The sequence below is a fragment of the Homo sapiens genome, chromosome 15, assembly GCF_000001405.40.
Source record: "Homo sapiens chromosome 15, GRCh38.p14 Primary Assembly".
Classification (NCBI taxonomy): Eukaryota; Metazoa; Chordata; class Mammalia; order Primates; family Hominidae; genus Homo; species Homo sapiens.
Window position 1 is genome coordinate 64,704,174 of NC_000015.10, and position 21,346 is coordinate 64,725,519.

Genomic DNA, 21,346 nt, shown 5'->3' on the forward strand with positions numbered 1-21,346 from the left:
CAAATAATTATTTTATTTATTTACTTATTTTTGAGATGGAGTCTCTCTCTGTGGCCCAGGCTGGAGTGCAGTGGCACAATCTCAGCTCACTGCAACCTCCACCTCCCGGGTTCAAGCGATTCTCCTGCCTCAGCCTCCTGAGTAGCTGGGATTACAGACATGTACCACCATGCCCGGCTAATTTTTGTATTTTTAGTAGAGACGAGGTTTCACCATGTTGCCCAAGCTGGTCTTGAACTCCTGACTTCAGGTGATCCACCTGCCTCGGCCTCCAAAAGTACTGGGATTACAGGCATGAGCCACCGCACCCGGCCAACAAATAATTATTGAATAGCTACTTACTGTATGCTCCAGGCATGTGCTAGAGTCCAAGAATACGCCATAATCAACCAGGCAAGGTTCCTGCCTTGGATGTCACAATCCGGTCAAGGGGAGAGACACAGGTCATCACAATACCAGGTAAGTAAGTGCTCAATCTGAGGAATGCCACAGAGAAAGTAATTTAGGGAATTAGGGACAGCTTTGCAGAAAGAGTGATAACTCAGAGAAAGGGTGACACTCCAGATCGGCGGTCACTATGACTTTCAGTTCACAAACATCTCACATTGGAGTCATCTCAGGATATGGTTACTCTCCTTCACAAACAGCATGCTTTTGGGTTTTGGATGATGGGGATGGAGGCACAGAAGGAAGGCTGGAGCTACCAAGCTAAGGCTTTTTCAACACAAATTAAAGTGGTAAATGATACCGAAACTGCCCGGATTATCACTAGATATTCAGGCAAGGCTGGTCTCATACTCTGGTTCACTTTAAGATCCTCCACTTTGTCCCTCAGCTATCCCTACCTACTCCTCCAGGTTCAAGTCAGGTATGTTCTTACATTAGTACTTAGCAAAATTGGACATTTAAACCCAGCCCTGATCTACCCCATCGCATAGTCCCAGAGACCTGGGCAATCCTCCTGGACCCTCAGAGGGAGCTGGAATGTCTCACTTCTGCCAGCCCATTCCTGGCCAAGTAACCCTTTAACCTGAAGGACAGTTTTTGACCCATGAATCAACAAATATTGAGAACTCACTATGTCAATAATAGCGACCATTTATTGAGCATCATGGGTAAAGTACTAAATTTTAGAACAGCTCTCCACCCTCGTTTTAAGGATGAAGAGAATTAAACCTCAGAGAGATTTATTCTGTCATCCAATATTTATTGAGGGTCTGTCTATACCAGACATGTTAACATGCTAGCTTTAATTCAAAGCGATTAAGTGGTATAGTTAGAATTTGGATCCCAAGTTGCCTGATCCTGTGCTTTCTCTGGATCTGCATGGTGGAAGAGTCAGAAGCTCTCTGGACAGCTTTCTGTTTAAAGGAGTGGCCACCCTGATAGCCACCTGGTCAGCAAGTGAAAAATTCACAAAAACTGAGGTCTTCAAATCTAAATTAATTAACATGAAATAAAGTTAAAAGTTCAATTCCTCAGTCCCACTAGCCACATTTCTTTTTCTTTTGTTTGAAACCGAGTCTCATTCTGTCACCTAAGCTGGAGTGCAGTGGGATGATCTCAGCTCACTGCAACCTCTGCCTCCCAGGTTCAAGCAATTCTTCTGTCTCAGCCTCCCGAGTAGCTGGGATTACAGGCGCCCACCACCACACCCGGCTAATTTTTATAGTTTAAGTAGAGACGGGGTTTCACCATGTTGGCCAGGCCAGTCTCGAACTCCTGACCTCAAGTGATCCACCTGCCTCGGCCTCCCAAAGTGCTGGGAATTACAGGCATGAGCCACCGCGCCCGGCCCACTAGCCACATTTCATATGCTTAATAGCCATATGTGGCTAGCAGCCACAGTATTACACAGTATACATATGGAACATGTCTATCATCACAGAAACTTCTACAACAGCACTATATCCCATCACCCCTCTATCCCTGTCTACCCCAGTCACCACCACAGGTTCAAGTCCCTTCTCATCCATTGCCCTCACACTGGCAATCTATCAGACTCTGCTTCCTGCTCCTAACCATACCCTCCCACTGTGCCTTCTGCAACGTGTGATCAGCAAACTCTTCCACATCCTCAGCCTTTTCTCAGCATCCTTGCTTTATCTGAAACTTGGCTATCCACTAACCGCTGCTTCTCCAGCAGCTCTATTAGGTGAATTCTGTTTCTCATTCTCACGTGCCTCAGTGTCAGAAGTGGGTAAGTGTATTCCTCTCCATCCCAATGCCATTTCTAGACCAGTGTTTATCTTCCCCTCCCTCCCACAAAATCCCTGTTCCATTGGGGCTTCACCCTCTAGATATACTATCTTGGTTAATGTCATTAGCCAGCCTCCTGGTTGATGCCCCTTATTTGGCTCATGGCTTGCTGCCTCTCCGCCCCAAATTTTGTCATATTTGGTGAGCTCAAGGTCCACATGATGGCCTCTCAGCCACGCTCCTCTCACTTCCTCGACTTTCTCATCTCCGGTAAGATTTTCAGCACTCCACTGTAGCTGCTAACACACCCTCAACTTTGTTTTCACCAAAAATCATTTCACGTCCAAAATATTGACTCTCCAACCATAACCTTTGCCTTAATTAAACCTTTCAACAAGTCTTTGACCTGTATCAGGAGCTTAACGCTTGACCTCACTAATTCCTCACTATTCATTAGCCCTAAGTTTTTTGTTTGTTTTTTTTAAGAGGAAGAAACTTGTTAAGAGAGATGAGAAAGTAACCTGTCTATGACTGAGCGTGGCAACTCATTCCTATAATCTCAACACTTTGAGAGGCCGAAGTGGGAGGATCACTTGAGCCCAGGAGTTTAAGATTAGCTGTGGGTAATGAGGAGACCCTATAAAAATTTTAAAAAAAAGCCAGCGTGGGGACACACACCTGTGGTTCCAACTACTCGGGAGGCTGCAGTAGGAGGATCGCTTGAGCCTGGGAGGTCAAGGCTGCAGTGAGCTGTGACTGCACCACTGCATTCCAGCCTGGGTGACAGACTAAGACCCTGCCTCAACTTAAAAAACAAAAGAGGCCGGGCGTTGTGGCTCACGCCTGTAATCCCAGCACTTTGGGAGGCCGAGGCGGGCGGATCATGAGGTCAGGAGATCGAGGCCATCCTGGCTAACATGGTGAAACCCCGTCTCTACTAAAAATACAAAAAATTAGCCGGGCGTGGTGGAGGGCACCTGTAGTCCCAGCTACTCGGGAGGCTGAGGCAGGAGAATGGCGTGAACCTGGGAGGCGGAACTTGCAGTGAGCTGAGATCACACCACTGCACTCCAACCTGGGCAACAGAGTGAGACTCCGTCTCAGAAAAAAAGAAAAAAGAAAACGAAAGGAACCTATCTAATGTGTCAAAGCTTTAGTGCAAATACTTGGGTCCAAACTCAGTAGTCACTGTTACCAATTGCAGATTTTTACATAGGACTGAATTATATGGTAAGCCACAGAAATTTGGAATAACTGAAACTCTCCTATTTGAGTCCACTGCCAGCTAATGATACTGTTTTTTTCTGTTTCCCTTGGCAAAGAGAGATAGTAGTTTATTAGAAAAGTAGTCGAGAACCATAAGTGTGAAATTATGTTAAAATAGTTCCCACAAAAATCATTATTTCTTTATGCATATTTTTAAAATTTTAACAAAGATTGTATACATTTATGGTGTACATCACGTTTTCATATATGTATACATTGTAGAAGAGTTAATCAATGATTAAATTTTTTTTTTTTTTTTTTTTTTTTTGAGACGGAGTCTCGCTCTGTCACCCAGGCCAGAGTGCAGTGGCACGATCTTGGCTCACTGCAACTTCCACCTCCCAGGTTCAAGCGATTCTCCTGCCTTAGCCTCCTGAATAGCTGGGATTACAGGCTTGCGCCACCAAGCCTGGCTAATTTTTGTATTTTTAGTAGAGACGGGGTTTTGCCATGTTGGCCAGGCTGGTCTCGAACTCCTGACCTCAAGTGATCCGCACACCTCAGTCTCCCAAAGTGCTGGGATTACAGGCATGAGCCACTGCACCCGGCCAAATCAAGCTTTTTAACATATTTATTATCTTACATCCTTATCATTTTTTTGCAAATATACACTATGTTGTTAACTCTAGCCATCATGATGTAACATAGATCTCTTGAACTTACTCCTCTTGTCTAACTGAAAATTTGTGTCCTTTGACTAACACTTTTCCAATTCCTCTACCTGCCCCCGGCCTCTGGTGACCATCATTTTACTCTCTATTTCTATGAGTTTGACTTTTTGTTTTGTTTATTTGACACAGGGTCTCATTCTTTTGCCTAGGCTGGAGTGCAGTGGAACCAGCATAGCTCACTGGAGCCTCAAATTCCTGGCCTGAAAGGATCCTCCTGCCTCAGCCTACCGAGTAGCTAGGACCACAGGCACATGCCACCATGCCTAGCTAATTGTTTTTTACTCTTTTCTCCAGAGACAGGGTTTCCCTGTGTTGCCCAGGCTGGTCTCAAACTCCTGGTCTCAAGGGATCCTCCTGTCTCAGCCTCCCAAAGCAATGAATGGGATTACAGGTCTGAGCCACCATTCTTGGTCTAAGCTTGATTTTTTTCACACTCTACATGTAAGTGAAATCATGCAGTATTTCTTGTTTTGTGCCTGGTTTATTTCACATAACATAACATCTCCCAGGTTCATCCATGTTGTCGCAAATGATACAGTTTCCTTCTTTTTTTAAGGCTGAATAGTACCCCGTTGTCTATATGTACATTTTTCTTTATTCATTCGTGTGTTGTTGGGCACTGTGGTTGTTTCCATGTGTTGGCTGTTGTGAATAATGCTGCAATGAACATGGGAATACAAATCTCTTTGACATGCTAATTTCAGGTCCTTTGGATATATACCCAGTAGTGGGATTCCTGGATCATAAAGTAGTTCTATTCTTAATGTTTTTTATTTTTTATTTTGAGATGGAGTCTCACTCTCTCACCCAGGCTGGAGTGCAGCGGAGCGATCTCAGCTCACTGCAACCTCCGCCTCCCAGGTTCAAGCGATTCTCCTATCTCAGCCTCCGGAGTAGCTGAGATTACAGGCACACGCCACCACGCCCAGCTAATTTTTTGTATTTTTAGTAGAGACAGGGTTTCACCATGTTGGCCAAGCTGGTCTCAAACTCCTGACCTTGTGATTTGCCTGCCTTGGCCTCCCAAAGTGCTGGGATTATAGGCATGAGCCTCCATGCCCAGACTATTCTTAATGTTTTGAGGAACCGCCATACTGTTTTCCATAAAGGCTATACTAATTCACATTCCCACCAACAGGGTGCAAGGGTTCCCTTTTCTCTGCATCCAGACCAACACTTGTCTTTTGTCTTGTTTTTTCTTTGAGATGGAGTTTCACTCTGTTGTCCAGGCTGGAGTGCAGTGACGTGATTGCAGCTCACTGCAAGCTCCACCTCCTGGGCTCAAGTGATTCTCCTGCTTCAGCCTCCCAAGTAGCTGGGATTACAGGCACCCACCACCACACCCATCTAGTTTTTGTATTTTTAGTAGAGACAGGGTTTCTCCATGTTGGCCAGGCTGGTCTTGAACTCCTGACCTCAAGTGATCCACCCACCTCAGCCTCCCAAAGTGCTGAGATAACAGGCATGAGCCACCATGCCTGACCATCTTTTATCTTTTTAATAATATAATAGTAGTCCTAATTTTGACTCACATCTCTTCTTTTCTTTTTATTTTTTTTTTATTTTTTTTTTTGAGATGGAGTCTCACTCTGTCACCCAGGCTGGAGTGCAGTGGCGCGATCTCGGCTCACTGCAAGCTCTGCCTCCTGGGTTCATGCCATTCTCCTGCCTCAGCCTCCCGTGTAGCTAGGACTACAGGCGCCCGCCACCATGCCCAGCTAATTTTTTGTATTTTTAGTAGAGACGGGGTTTCACCGTGTTAGCCAGGATGGTCTTGATCTCTTGACCTTGTGATCCACCTGCCTCGGCCTCCCAGAGTGCTGGGATTACAGGCGTGAGCCACCGTGCCCGGTCTTTTTTTTTTTTTGCACTCTGTCGCTGAGGATGGAGTATAATTGTGCAATCTCAGCTCCCAGATCCCTTCTTTTCTAGCTTCTTTTTTTCTTTTCTTTTTTTTTTTTTTTTGAGACAGTCTTGCTCTGTTGCCCAGGCTGGAGTGCAGTGGTGTGATCTCTGCTCACTGCAACCTCCGCCTCCCAGATTCAAGCAGTTCTCTGACTCAGCCTCCCGAGTAGCTGGGATCACAAGCACCCATCACAACACCTGGCTAATTTTTGTATTTTTAGTAAAGACAGGATTTCACCATCTTGGCCAGGCTGGTCTTGAACTCCTGACCTTGTGATCCACCTGCCTCGGCCTCCCAAAGTGCTGGGATTACAGGCGTGAGTCACCGTGCCCGGCTTTTTTTTTTTTTTTTAAGACAGGGTCTTGCTCTGTCACCTAGTCTGGAGTCCAGTGGCGCCATCTCGGCTCACTGCAACCTCTGCCTCCTGGATTCTCCTGCCTCAGCCTCCCAAGTAGCTGGGACTACAGGCACATGCCACCATACCCAGCTAATTTTTGTATTTTGGGTGGAGATGGGGTTTCGCCATATTGCCCAGGCTGGTCTTGAATTCCTGGGCTCAAATGATCTGCCCGCCTTGGCCTCCCAAAGTGCTGAGATTACAGGCATGAGCCACCACGCCCAGCCTTTTCTAGCTTGTCTATCATCCATCACTATAACTACTCCTTCCCTCTGTCTCCTCCCATTGTGCTTGCCTGGCAAAGCCCTACTCCACATAAATTCAACCATTTGCTTTCCGAGTGCTTTTGCTACAGCAAAATCACAATACCAGGCAGGTTATCTTCACTCATGTTCATGATCCTAACCTCAAACGGACTGTCAATACTGCTGGGTAATTCCTACTACGTTTCCCCATTAAGTTTGCTTTTCCACTCTCAAGAAGAATTTTTTCCCTAGGCTCTCTCTGCAAAACCTCTACCCCTCTCATCTTAGCTGATGACCTAGCCACCATGTTACTAAGGAAATAGAAGCAATAGGAAATACCCTGTCATTCCTACCACAGCCTACAAACCCATCTGCATCTCCGCCTACTTACATCTGTCTCCTCCTAGTGCTCTGAGAAGTGGATGTCCCTTTGCTAAAGACTAGCCAATCCTGGCCAGGCACAGTGGCTCACACCTATAATCCCAGGAGTTTGGGAGGCCAAGGCAGGCAGATTGCTTGAGCCCAGGAGTTTGAGACCAGCCTGGGCAATGTAAAGAGACCCCCATCTCTACAAAAAAATGTAAAAAATTAGCCAGGCGTGCTGATACACCCCTGTAGTCCCAGCTACTTGGGAGGCTGAGGTAGGAGGATAGCTTGGGCCCAGGAGGTTGAGGCTACAGTGAGCTGTGATCATGCCACTGCACTCCAGCCTGGATGACCCTGTCTATAAAAAAAAAAAAAAAAAAAAAAAAAAAAAAAAAAAAAACTAGCCAATAAAAACTAGCCAATCCCACGGCAAAACCTATGGAACTTCCTCTCTCCCATCTTCAAGGACCTAGTTCCTAAAATCTAAATCTCCCCCTTCAGCACACAAACATGCTCTCTAGTCTTTAAAAAATAGTAACACAGGCTGGGTGCAGTGGCTCACGCCTGTAATCCCAGCACTTTGGGAGGCCGAGGCGGGCAGATCACAAGATCAGGAGTTCAAGACCAACCTGACCAATATAGTGAAACCCCGCCTCTACTAAAAATACAATAATTAGCCAGGCATGGTGGCACACACCTGTAGTCCCAGCTACTCAGGAGGCTGAGGCAAGAGACTCACTTGAACCCAGGAGGTGGAGGTTGCAGTGAGCCAAGATTGCTCCACTGCATCCCAGCCTGGGCGACAGAGCGAGACTCTGTCTCAAAAAAAAAAAAAAAAAAAAAAGTAACATAGTCACTCTGGAAAACAGTTTGGCATTTTCTTAAAAAACTAAACATGCAGCTACCACATGACCAAGAAATTGCATGCCTGGGCATTTATCCCAGAGAAATGAAGACTTATGTTCACACAAAAACCGGTACATATATGTTCATAGCAGCTTTATCCATAATAATAGCAAAAACTTAAAATTAGCTCAGGTATCCTTCAGTAGGTGAATGGTTAAAGAAACCATGGTGCATCCACACCATGGAATATTGCTCAGCAACAAACAGGAATGAACTATCAACACACAGCAACTTGGATGACTCTCCAAGGAATTATGCTGGTTATTTGTTGTTGTTTTGAGACAGGGTCTCACTCTGTGGCCCAGACTGGCATGTAGTGGCATGATCACAGTTCACTGCAGCCTCACCTCTAACTTCCAATCTCAAGTGATCCTCCCACCTCAGCCTCACAAGTAGCTGGGACTATAAGTGTGCACCACATCAGGCTAATTTTTTTATTTTTTGTAGAGATGGGATCTCACTATGTTGCCCAGGCTGGTCTGAAACTCCTGGAATCAAGCAATCCTCCTGCCGCATCCTCCCAAAGTGCTGGGATTACAGACATGAGCCAACGAGCCTGGCCCTGATTTTAAAAAGGTTACATACTGTATGATTCTATTTATATAACAGCTTGTTTTTTTGTTTTTGTTTTTTGAGACACAGTCTCGCGCTGTAGCCCATGCTGGAGTGCAGTGGCGCAATCTCGGCTCACTGCAAGCTCTGCCTCCTGGGTTCATGCCATTCTCCTGCCTCAGCCTCCCTCCCAAGTAGCTGGGACTACAGGTGCCCGCTACCACGCCTGGCTAATCTTTTGTATTTTTAGTAGAGACGGGGTTTCACCGTGTTAGCCAGGATGGTCTCGATCTCCTGACCTCGTGATCCGCCCACCTCAGCCTCCCAAAGTGCTGGGATTACAGGCGGGAGTCACCACGCCCAGCCTGGTTTTTTTGTTTTTTGAGACAGGGTCTCGTTCTGTCACCCACGTTGGAGTGCAGTGGCACAATCTCGTCCACTGCAGCCTTCGCCTCCTGGGTTCAAGCAATTCTCCTGCCTCAGCCTCCTGAGTAGCTGTGATTACAGGTGTGTACCACCATGACTGGCTAATTTTTTTATTTTTAGGAGAGACGGGGTTTCACCATGTTGGCCAGGCTGGTCTTGAACTTCTGGCCTCAGATGATTCACCTGCCTCGGGCTTCCAAAGTGCTGGGATTACAGGTGTGAGCCACCGCACCCGGCCTTATATAACGGTTTTTGAAATGACAAAATTTTCGACCGGGCATGGTAGCTCACGCCTATAATCCTAGCACTGTGGGAGGCCGAGATGGGCAGATCACCTGAGGCCAGGAGTTTGAGACCAGCCTGGTCAATATGGCAAAACCCCATCTCTACCAAAAATTTAAAAAAATCAGTCACTGTGGTGGTGGGCACCTATAATCTCAGTTACTCGGAAGGCTGAGGCAGGAGAATCTCTTGAACCCGGAAGGCGTAGGTTGCAGTGAGCCAAGATTGCTCCATTGCTTCCAGCCTGGACAACAAAAGCGAAATTCCATCCCCCCAAAAAAAAAAGAGAGAGATAACAAAATTTTCAAAATGAAGGTTGCCAGGAGTTTGGAATGGGGCCTGGGAGGAGTCAGGAGGGAAACACGTGTGGATATCAAAGGGCAACCCTGAGGGATCTTTGTGGTATTGGAACTGTTCAGCAGTGGAGGATATACGAACCTACATGTGTGATGAAATTGTATTGAACTACACACCCATACACACACACACACACACACACACTCACACACTAGTACAAATAAAACTGGGGACATCTGAGTAAGTTTGGTGGATTTTATCAATGTCGATATCCTGGTTATGATACTGTGCGATAGTTTTGTAGAATGCTACCACTGGGGTAACTGGGAAAAGTGTGTAAGGGATCTCTCACTATTACTTCTTATTGCATGTAAGTCTACAATTACCTCAATAAAGCGTTTTTTTGTTTTTTTTTTTTTGAGACGGAGTCTCACTCTGTCACCCAGGCTGGAGTGCAGTGGTGCAATCTCGGCTCACGGCAAGCTCCGCCTACCGGGTTCATGCCATTCTCCTGCCTCAGCCTCCCGAGTAGCTGGGACTACAGGCGCCCGCCACCATGCCCGGCTAATTTTTTTGTATTTTTAGTGGAGATGGTCTCGATCTCCTGACCTCGTGATCCGCCTGCCTTGGCCTCCCAAAGTGCTGGGATTACAGGCGTGAGCCACCGTGCCCAGCCTTTTTTTCTCTTTTTGAGATAGAGTCTTGCTGTGCTGCCCATGCTGGAGTGCAGTGGCACCGTCTTGGCTCACTGCAACCTCTGCCTCCCGAGTTCAAGCAATTCTTGTGCCTCAGCCTCCTGGGTAGCTGGGATTACAGGTGTACGCCACTACACCCAACTACTTTTTTTTTTTTTTTTTTTTTGAGACAGTTTTGCCCTTGTTGCCCAGGCTAGAGTGCAATGGCGTGATCTCGGCTCACTGCAACCTCCACCCCCCAGGTTCAAGCAATTATCCTGCCTCACCCTCCCGAGTAGCTGTGATTACAGGCATGCACCATCACTCCTGGCTAATTTTTGTATTTTTAGTAGAGACAGGGTTTTACTACGTTGGCCAGGCTGGTCTCGAACTCTGGATCTCAGGTGATCTGCCCGCCTCGGCCTCCCAAAATGCTGGGATTACAGGCATGAGCCACTGCGCCCTGCCAATTTTTGTATTTTTAGTGGAGATGGGGTTTCACCATGATGACCAGTCTATATAGGTTTTGTTTTTGTTTTTGTTTTTTTGAGACAGAGTCTCTGTCGCCCAGACTGGAGTACAGTGGCTCAATCTCGGCTCACTGCAAGTTCCACCTCCTGGGTTCACGCCATTCTCCTGCCTCAGCCTCCCGAGTAGCTGGGACTACAGGTGCCTGCCACCATGCTCAGCTAATTTTTTGTATTTTTTTTATTATATTGTATTTTTTTGTATATATTGTATTTTTTTGTATTAGCCAGGATGGTCTCAATCTTCTGACCTCATGATCCACCTGCCTCAGCATCCCAAAGTGCTTGGATTACAGGCGTGAGCCACTGCACCCGGCCTGTAGTTTTTTTTTTTTTTTTTTGAGATGGAGTCTCACTCTGTCGTCCCGGCTGGAGTGCAGTGGCGTGATCTCGGCTCACTGCAAGCTCCGCCTCCCAGGTTCACGCCATTCTCCTGCCTCAGCCTCCTGAGTAGCTGGGACTACAAGTGCCCGCCACCATGCCCGGCTAATTTTTTGTATTTTTAGTAGAGACGGGATTTCACCATGTTAGCCAAGATGGTTTCGATCTCTTGACCTCGTGATCCACCCACCTCAGCCTCCCAAAGTGCTGGGATTACAGGTGTGAGCCACCGGGCCCAGCCAGTTTTTTTAACTAAACATTTTATTGGCGGGACGTGGTGGCTCACGCCTGTAATCTCAGCACTTTGGGAGGCCAAGGCGGGTGGATCACTTGAGGCCAGGAGTTTGAGACTAGCCTGGCCAACATGGTGAAATCCTGAGTCCACCAAAAATTAGCCAGGCGTGATGGCATGTACCTGTAGTCCCAGCTACTTGAGAGGCTGAGGTGGGAAAATCACTTGACCCTGGAAGATGGAGGTTGCAGTGAGCTGAGATCAACACCACTGCACTCCAGCCTCGGTGACAGAGCAAGACATGTGTATATATATACACACGTATATATATATATACACGTATATATATACACACGTATATATATACACACGTATATATGTACACGTATATATATACACACGTATATATATACACGTATATATATACACACGTATATATATATACACGTATATATATACACGTATATATATATATACACGTGTGTGTGTGTGTGTGTGTGTGTGTGTGTATATATATATATATATATATATGATGTGCTAAGTTGGCATGTAGGTAAAAACCATACATATAAATGTAATAAAATGTATTAAAAAATGTGAGCTGAGCCCAGAAGCTTACTTCTGTAATCCTAACACTTTGGGAGGCCAAGGCAGGAGGATCACTTGAGCCCAGGAGTTCAAGACTAGCCTGGGCAACATAGTGAGAACTTGTCTCTACAAAAAACAAAATTAGCCCAGCCGCAGTGGCTCACACCTATAATCCCAGCACTTTGGGAGGCTGAGGTGGGCGGATCACTTGAGGCCAGAAGTTTGAGACCTCCACCTCTCCTAAAAATACAAACATTAGCCAGGCGTGGTGGTGCACACCTGTGGTCCCAGCTACTCGGGAGACTGAGGCAGGAGACTCTCTTGAACCCAGGAGGTGAAGGTTGCAGTGAGCTGCGATCGCGCCACTGCACTCCAGCCTGGGCAACGGACTGAGGCTCAGTCTCAAGACAGGAAAAAAAAAAAAAAAGCTGGCCAAGTGTTGTGGTGCATACATGTAGTCCTAGCTATTCAGGAGGCTGAAGTGGGAGGATCATTTGAGCCCAGGAGTTTGAGACCAGACTGGGCAACATAGGGAGAGCCTATCTCTACAAAAAAAGTTAATAATTAGCCAGGCATGGTGGCACACTCCTGTAGTCCCAGCTACTCCCAGGAGGCTGAGGTGGGAGGATCACATAAGCCCGGGAATTTGAGGCTGCAACTGAGCTATGTATGACTGCACCACTGTACTGTAGCAGAGTGAGACATCTGGGCAGCAGAGGGAGACCCTCTCTCTAAAAACAAAACAAAACAAAAAAGCCCTAGAGGATCTAAGCCCTCCTGCCCCTCCAGCCTCATCCTGTGCTCCTCTCTTTGGTGGAGCAACCCTGGCTTCTTCTCAGGGCCTCAAACAGGACCAGCCTCTTACTATTCCCTGACCTGGACCACCCTTCCCCAGATCCTCCTGAGGCGGGGCTGGCTCCCCATCCTCAGAGAGCCCTTGGCAGCATCCCTGTTCCCTGTGTATTCCCTCATGGCATATCTGTAATGCATTCATCTGCTGCTTCCATGTTCATTGTGTGACACTCGTGTTGGACTGAAAGCTCCAGGTGGGTAAGAAGCGAAGAGCCTGGGCCACATGAGGTGCTCAGTGAATACTTTTGTGTATGGCAAAATTCAGTGAAGAAATTTAAAGCATGAAAGCTTACAGCAGAGTTGGAGAGATGTAACTTACATATCTGAAACAAGGCAGAAGCACGAGAAGACAGCAGCATCAGTGCAGAAGTGGGCCGCTCAGCCCGCGAGTGCAGGAGGCGCTGAGAAGAACAGGTGTCAGCTCTCTGCTGAGAACAAAGACAATTCAACGCCACTTTTTCAAGGTGAAAATAGAGCCCAAAGCCCTGAAAAAGGAAATTAAAAATAAAGGTTCTCTGAGGCCCAAGCAAGATCAGGATGTCAAGAGCCTGGCATTTTTCTTCTGCTCCCTCCCAAAGCTGCCTTTCAACATTGCACGGTGTTCCTTAAGGACATCACCAAAGAGTCAGAAAACCTGCGAGTCCTGGTTCTCCCCCTTTTCCTGGCTGCTGATCCTGGCAAGGCACATGTGCTCTTTGTACCTCTGTTTCTCAGCTAAAATTTGAGGTTGGGAGTAGACTCTTAGGGTTCTTTTCCGCGATAAAGACTTTTCCAAGTGGTCACTTGAGCCACCTCATAAGGTCTAGCTTGGATCCCACTACCAACCCTTGAGTCAGGATCATGGTTGGGGGCGGAGGGAGGAACTGGCTTCTAGAGGCAGCAAAAGACTTGTGAGGAGCCCTGCCCCTTGGCTCACAGGGCAGGAAGCGCCTGGCGGAAGGTGAAGCAGTTGAAAGCACTAGAGCTGGAAGTGAGTGAGGGGTAGTCCTGCCTGGGGCGTAGGGTTCCGGTCCCAGGCAAAACATTATTTTAGACCAACAGGAAAAACAAAAGTAATGGTTCCCACCAACTTCCCAGCTCCAGGAAGCTGGGCATGACTAGTGATTTTTTTTTCTGTTCCTCTAGCCTGTGAGCATTTCCACTCGTCTGCCAAGGCAGAGACAGCCCCATCCAGAAGCAAGAATGAGACCTCGGGGCCCTGGCGCCCTTGAGCCAACCCCATCTCTGTTCTCACAACTTGCCTTGCCTGACCTCTGGAGAAAAACTTCAGAAAATATCACCCTTTCTTCCCACCTGCTCCCGCTGGCCAAAATCCCCATCAAAGCCTGGCTTCAGCCCCTCAGACTGGGAACTCTATCCAAATGGAGTGTGGGGAGTGTGGGTGAGGAAGGACGGAAGGAAGTAGGTCACACGCTGGCTACCGCACAACGGGGAAGAGGCCAACCTCGGAAAGGCAGAAGAGTGGCCGCCATGCCGAGCTTCCAGAGATGGAGAGAAGGTCTAGGAAGCCACCTTGGGGAAGCCGCCTGAGCAGGAGCGGGGCAGCCAGGGATCAGAGCCCACGGCCTGCTGGGGACCCATCCTGGGCACGGGGCTCTGGGCTCTGTGCCCATTCTCTGATGTGCCACATTGTTCTGCTACTTCCTTCTCTGGAAGTAATAAGGGGGTTGGGGGTGGGACAGCACGGCCAGGAGTAGATGGAGCGGGGTGGAGCTGCCAGTGGGGGAGGAGGCTGCGGTTCATTCCCACGACCAGCTGCCCTTCTGGCCGCCCTGGGACTGCGTGGGAAAAGGTCTGGGAAGTATGGGGGATGGTGTGTGTGTGTGTGTGTGTGTGTGTGTGTGTGTGTGTGTGTGTTTTCATGTGTCTGACTCCCTTGCTTGGCTTCAGTCACAGGACAAAGCCCTTTGAGAAACAGTCACCAACCTGTGTTCCCACTGGGCTCTGTCCTGGGAGAGGCACAAGAACCCGCCCTGACGCCTGAGAGAAAGACTCTGAAGGCCTCAGGACCAAATCCCTGGAGGGGTCTTGGCGTCTAATGAATCTAGATTGACTGACTTCCCTGGGATGCTTCTGGAACCTTCTGCTAAGCCCTCAGCTTCTTGGCAGAGCTCTATTACTAACTGGATATCAGAATATGGGTGCAAACTAGACATGGGGAGTGAAGTCAGCCATTCTCACAGCATCTACCTAAGAAGGCCAGGATCCTCCACAGCCACGTAGATCGTAGAGCCAGTGGCATGCCGGGGATGATATACAAAGACAAGAAACTCTGAAACAGAGAACACAAACTAACAGCCCATAGGCCAAATGCAGCCCGCAGGCACATGGCTTATTTGGCCAACACAGCATTTAAGAAATGTTTGAGCCGAGGCTGGGTGAGGTGGCTCAGGCCTATAATCCCAGTACTTTGGGAGGCCGAGGCAGGTGGATCACCTGAGGTCAGGAGTTCAAGACCAGCCTGGCCAACATGACAAAACCCCGTCTCTACTAAAAATACAAGAATTAGCCAGGTGTGGTGGTCCATGCCTGCAGTCCCAGCTACCCAGCTGCTTGGGGGGCTGAGGCAGGAGAATCGCTTGAACCTGGGGGGCGGAGGTTGCCGTGAGCTGAGATCACACCACTGCACTCCAGCCTGGGCGACAGAGCGAAACTCCGTCTCAAAAAAAAAAAAAAAAAAAAAATCCCAATTTCTACAGTCTCTTGAAAAATCAGACGATATGGCTAACATTGATGCATATGGCCCCAGGACCACAGCTGATGGGGCTGAATAATGACCACCCTTTAGAAAGACCTTGGACTGTCCATTTTGCCACTGTCCACACCACTCTGTATTGTCTCCAGCAGTGAGGCCGAGTATGAGTTGCTGTTGCTCATCACACTTGAATGGTTATTACACTGTTTTCTGTACCCTCGTCTCATTCAAAAGTGGGGATATGGCCAGGTGTGGTGGCTCACGCCTGTAATCCCAGCACTTCGGGAGGCCGAGGCAGGTGGATCACTTGAGCCCAGGAGTTTAAGACCAAACTGGGCAACATGGAGAAACCCCATCTCTACTAAAAAAAAAAAAAAAAAAAAGTGGGGACACGAAAGAAACTAAGAGGGCCACTGTTTGTAGCGAGCACATTTCTACCCCAGCCAGGCCTATCTATAAGCAAATAAAGATGGGATTTCATGTCCTCCCATCAGCTTTTCTGCACCCTCCCTTCTACCTTCCAGTGGCACAGTGCTTAATGACAGCTGCTGACAATACAGTGTCACAGGCCTTGCGCCAAAATTACCCCCAACTCCTTCCCTCACTCCCAAATCACAACTCTTATTATCTAAGTGAGCAACCCCAGTTGCAAAACACAAAGGAGTAATAAGTCCTGTAGAAATTCTCAGCTCCACCCCAGCCCCTGGTTGCCAATGACCCTGTGAAGAAGCTAAAACTCCTTAGCTCGGACATTCTGTCACAGAGAGACCTGCAGCATGTGCCAGATGAACTTGCATCAACTGAAAACCAAGGTCACCTCTGGAGACCAGAAATGGAAGTGACAGTCCCAGGCCTATTCATAAAGCTTCAGTTTTTTACAAGGAGATTGTAATCATGCAAAACTTGCGTAATTAAAATTAATAATAAACAGAAATGCCTCAGCCTAGTTCCTGTGAGTCTGACCCCAACTTACATTTCCAGGTTTTTTTTTTTTTTTTTTTTGAGACGGAGTCTCACTCTTGTCACCCAGGCTGCAAGCTCCGCCTCCCGAGTTCACACCATTCTCCTGCCTCAGCCTCCTGAGTAGCTGGGACTACAGGCACCTGCCACCACGCCCAGCTAATTTTTTTTTTTTTTTTTTTTTTTTGTATTTTTAGTAGAGACAGGGTTTCACTGTGTTAGGCAGGATGGTCTCGATCTCCTGACCTCGTGATCCACCTGCCTCGGCCTCCCAAAGTGCTGGGATTACAGGCGTGAGCCACCACGCCTGGCCTTTTTTTTTTTTTTTTTTAAGACATGGTCTCACTCCAGTGCCCAGGCTGGAGTGCAATAGCGTGATCTCAGCTCACTGCAACCTCCACCTCCTGGGCTCAGGTGATACACCCTGCCTTAGCCTCCTGAGTAGCTGGGACTACAGGTACATGCCACCATGCCCAGCTACTTTTTGTATTTTTTGTAGAGATAGGGTATCTCTCTGTTGCCCAGGATGGATACATTTCCAGTTTATCTCAGATTACTCCCTTCCATGAACAAGTCCACTCACAGAACCCTCTTTCTCCTACAAAGAACGTCTTTCTCCTCCTCCTTTGTCAAGCAACCTCTAGCTCATCTCTCAAGACTGTAGTCTTTCAATAATTTAGCTCATGCATACCCTAAACATTTTTAAAAATTATGTACCCCTTCAATAAAGCTTGTTTTAAAAGTGAAGTTTTTAGGCTGGGCATGGTGGCTCACGCCTGTAATCCCAGCACTTTGGGAGGCCGAGGTGGGTGGATCACCTGAGGTCAGGAGTTCAAGACCAGCCTGGACAACATGGTGAAACCCCGTCTCTACTATAAATACAAAAATTAGCCGGGCGTGGTGGCAGGTGCCTGTAATCCCAGCTACTCGGGAGGGTGAGGCCAAAGAATCGCTTGAACCCAGGAGGCGGAGGTTGCAGTGAGTAGGGATCACACCATTGCACTCCAACCTGGGAGACAAGAGCAAAACTCTGTCTCAAAAAAAAAAAAAAAGGGGAAATTTTAAAATTTGATTTAAAAAAAATTTTAACCATGTTTAAATAGTTGCAAAAGGCTGGGCACAGTGGGACATATCTGTAATCCAAGCACTTTGGGAGGCTATGGTGGGAGGATTGCTTGAGGCCAGGTGCTCAAGGTTACAGTGAATAATGATCATACCACTGCATTCCAGCCTGAGTGATAGACTGAGACCCTGTCTCTACAAAAAAATATAAAAACAGTTTCGAAGGATGTGATTTCTTTGCAATTTTTTTTTGTATTAGAAATATTGAAGCTGGACACAGTGACTCATGCCTGTAATCCCAGCACTATGGGAGGCCGAGGCAGTGGGCAGATTGCTTGAGGCCAGGAGTTTGAGTCCAGCCTGGCCAACAAAGCAAAACCCCATCTCTACTAAAAGTACAAAAATTAGCCGGGCATGGTGATGCGTACCTGTAATCCCAACAACTCAGGAGGCTGAGGCATTAGAATTGCTTGAACCTCGGAGGCAGAGATTGCAGTGAGTTGAGATCAACCCAGTGCACTCCAGCCTGGGTGACAGAGTGAGACTCTGTCTCAAAAAAAAGAAAGAAAAAGAGGCCAGGTGCAGTGGCTCACGCCTGTAATCCCAGCGCTTTGAGAGGCAGAGGCGGGCGGATCACTTGAGGTCAGGAGTTTGAGACCAGCCTGGCCAACATGGTGAAACCCTGTCTCTACTAAAAATACAAAAAATAGCCAGGCGTGGTGGCGTGTGCATGTAATCCCAGCTGCTTGGGAGGCTGAGGCAAGAGAATCGCTTGAACCCAGGTGTCGGAAGTTGCAGTGAGCCAAGATCATGCCACTGCACTCTAGCCTGGGCGACAGAGTGAGACTCCCTCTCAAAAAAAAAAAAAAAAGAAAGAAAGAAAAAAAGAAAAAGTAAGCTGTTCTTTAGCACAGGAAATTTTACATCACTCCTTTTTCTCCTTGAACTTGTATTTTCTTTTTACTTCTCTCACATAATGCTTTCCTAATACAATATGTACTTTATCCCTTTTTTTTTTTTTTTTTTTTTTTTGAGATGCAGTCTTGCTGTGTTGCCCAGCCCAGGCTGGAGTGCAATGGCACAATCTCAGCTTACAGCAATCTCCGCCTCCCGGGTTCAAGCGATTCTCCAGCCTCAGCCTCCCCAGTAGCTGGGATTATAGGTGCCTGCCACCACGCCCAGCTAATTTTTGAATTTTGAGCAGAGACAGGGTTTCACCATGTTGGCCAGGCAGATCTTGAACACCTGACCTCAGGTGATCCACCCACCTCAGCCTCCCAAAGTGCTGGGATTATAGGCGTGAGCCACTGCGCCCAGCATTTTTTTTTTCCCCCAAGATGGAGTTTCACTCTTGTTGCCCAGACTGGAGTGCAGTGGCGCGATATCAGCTCACCGCAAGCTCTGCCTCCCGGGTTCCAGCGATTCTCCTGCCTCAGCCTCCCGAGTAGCTGGGATTATAGGCATGCACCACCACGCCCAGCTAATTTTTGTATTATTAGTAGAGACAGGGTTTCTCCATGTTGGTCAGGCTAGTCTCAAACTCCTGACCTCAGGTGATCCACCCACCTCAGACTCCCAAAGTGCTAGCTAGGATTACAGGCGTGAGCAACTGCACCCGGCCAAGAATTCTTAAATATAAGACACAAAATTGTATAGGAAATACAACTTATATTGAGAGAGATGTTCTCATGCTAGAGTGAGACAGTGATAAGCATCAATGTTTTTGTTGGCTGGTTGGTTGTTTTTCTGAGACAGAGTCTTGCTCTGTTGCCTAGGCTGGAGTGCAGTGGTGCAAATGTGGTTCACTGCAGCCTCGACCTCTTGGGCTCAGGCAGTCTCCTGCCTCAGCCTCCCACGTACATGGGAATACAGGTGTGCATGACCATGCTCAACTAATTTTTTGTAGAGACAGGGACTCACTTTGTTGCCCAGGCTGGTCTCCTGGGCTCAAGCCTTGGCCTCTCAAAGTGCTGGGATTACAGGTATGAGCCATTATGCTTAGGCTGTGTTTTCGTTGTTATTGTTGTCTTTTTTTTTTTTTTTTTTTTTTGAGACAGTCTGACTGTGTTGCCCAGGCTGGAGTGCAGTAGCTATTCACAGGCATGATCGTAGTTCACTGCAGCCTCAAACTTCTAGGCTCAAGTGATCCTCCTGCCTCAGTCTCCTGAGTAGCTGGGACTACAGGTACATACCGCCACACCTGGCTAGGCTCAATTTTATTTCAACGTTTCAATCTCACACATGGTAATGCTGAGGTATCTTATTCACATAAGTACCTGGGAAAGGAAGAAGTTCTAGCAGAGTCACTCAATACCACCTAATCATCAAGCAGATGACAACAAAATTTGTTTCAGGTCCTTCCATTCAAAAGCAAAATATTGGGAAAGCTTTAGTTTGTAGAAAGGATCTATAATACAGTCATTTGAGTCATTCACTTTCTCAATATTGAAATCACTATTTCAAACTGTTTCTGTTTGAATTCCCAGAGATTTTTACACATCAAGACAATATACCAAATACCAGATCTCCCAACATACCAAACATCAGATCAACCAACAAACCAAATACCAGATCACCAACAAACCAAATACCAGATCTCCCAACATACCAAATACCAGATCACCAACATACCAAATACCAGATCACCAACATACCAAATACCAGATCTCCAACATACCAAATACCAGATCTCCAACATACCAAATACCAGATCTCCAACATACTAAATACCAGATCACCTAGCATACCAAATACCAGATCTCCCAACATACCAAATATCAGATCAACCAACAAACCAAATACCAGATCACCAACAAACCAAATACCAGATCTCCCAACATACCGAATACCAGATCACCAACATACCAAATACCAGATCTCCAACATACCAAATACCAGATCTCCAACATACCAAATACCAGATCACCTAACATACCAAATACCAGCTCTCCCAACATACCAAATACAAGATCTCCCAACATACCAAATACCAGATCTCCAACATACCAAATACCAGATCAACAACATACTAGATCTCCTAAGATCTAGGATGAAGGGCCAGGCATGATGGCTCATGCCTATAATCCTAGCACTTTGGGAGGCTGAGGTAGGTGGATCACTTAAGCCCAGGAGTTTGAGACCAACCGGAGCAACATGGCAAAACCCCATCTCTACTAAAAATACAAAAATTAGCCAGGCACGATGGCTCACACCTGTAATCCCACACTTTGGGAGGCTGAGGCGGGAGGATCACTTCAGGCAAGAGGTCTAAGACCAGCCTGGCCAACATAGCAAAACACCGTCTCTACTAAAAACACAAAAAATTAGGCCAGGTGCGGTGGCTCATGCCTGTAATCCCAGCACTTTGAGAGGTCGAGGCGGGCAGATCACAAGGTCAGGAGTTCCAGAACAGCCTGACCAACATGGTGAAACCCCGTCTCTACTAAAAACACAAAAATTATCTGGGCATGGTGGCTTGCACCTGTAGTCCCAGCTACTCAGGAGGCCGAGGCAGGAGAATCACTTGAACCCAGGAGGCGGAGGTTGCAGTGAGCCGAGATCGAGCCACTGCACTCCAGCCTGGGTGACAGAGCGAGACTATGTCTCAAAAAAAAAAAAAAAAAAAAAAATAGCCAGGTGTGGTGGTGCGCACCTGTAATCCCAACCACTGCACTCCAGCCTGGGCGACAGAGCAAGACTCCATCTCAAAAAAAAAAAAAAAAAAAATTAACCCGGTGTGGTGGCGTGCACCTTAATCCCAGCTACTCGGGAGAGTGAGGGAGAATCACTGGAACCCAGGAGGCAGAGGTTGCAGTGAGCCGAGATCGTGCCACTGCACTTCAGCCTGGGTGACAGAGGGTGA

General features: G+C 47.3%; 1 long non-coding RNA gene across 1 annotated transcript, besides 2 other annotated features; it reads left to right on the plus strand.

Moving 5' to 3' along the window:
- Positions 1-369: 369 nt before the first annotated feature.
- LOC124903507 (uncharacterized) lies at positions 370-16,396 on the plus strand. Its single transcript, XR_007064679.1, has 3 exons — positions 370-459; positions 8,404-8,532; positions 13,893-16,396. It is a non-coding gene; the product is annotated as an uncharacterized LOC124903507 (long non-coding RNA).
- Positions 6,903-7,103: a silencer, noted in NCBI's record as "peak2370 fragment used in MPRA reporter construct". NCBI's record gives its function as "represses an SCP1 promoter by STARR-seq MPRAs in K562 erythroleukemia cells {active_cell/tissue: K562}" and the evidence as "EXISTENCE:reporter gene assay evidence [ECO:0000049][PMID:32103011]".
- Positions 13,894-14,394: an enhancer, noted in NCBI's record as "H3K4me1 hESC enhancer chr15:65010266-65010766 (GRCh37/hg19 assembly coordinates)". NCBI's record gives its function as "activates a minimal SCP1, AML or CMV promoter by ChIP-STARR-seq in naive H9 embryonic stem cells {active_cell/tissue: H9 hESC(naive)}" and the evidence as "EXISTENCE:reporter gene assay evidence [ECO:0000049][PMID:30033119]".
- Positions 16,397-21,346: the final 4,950 nt, after the last annotated feature.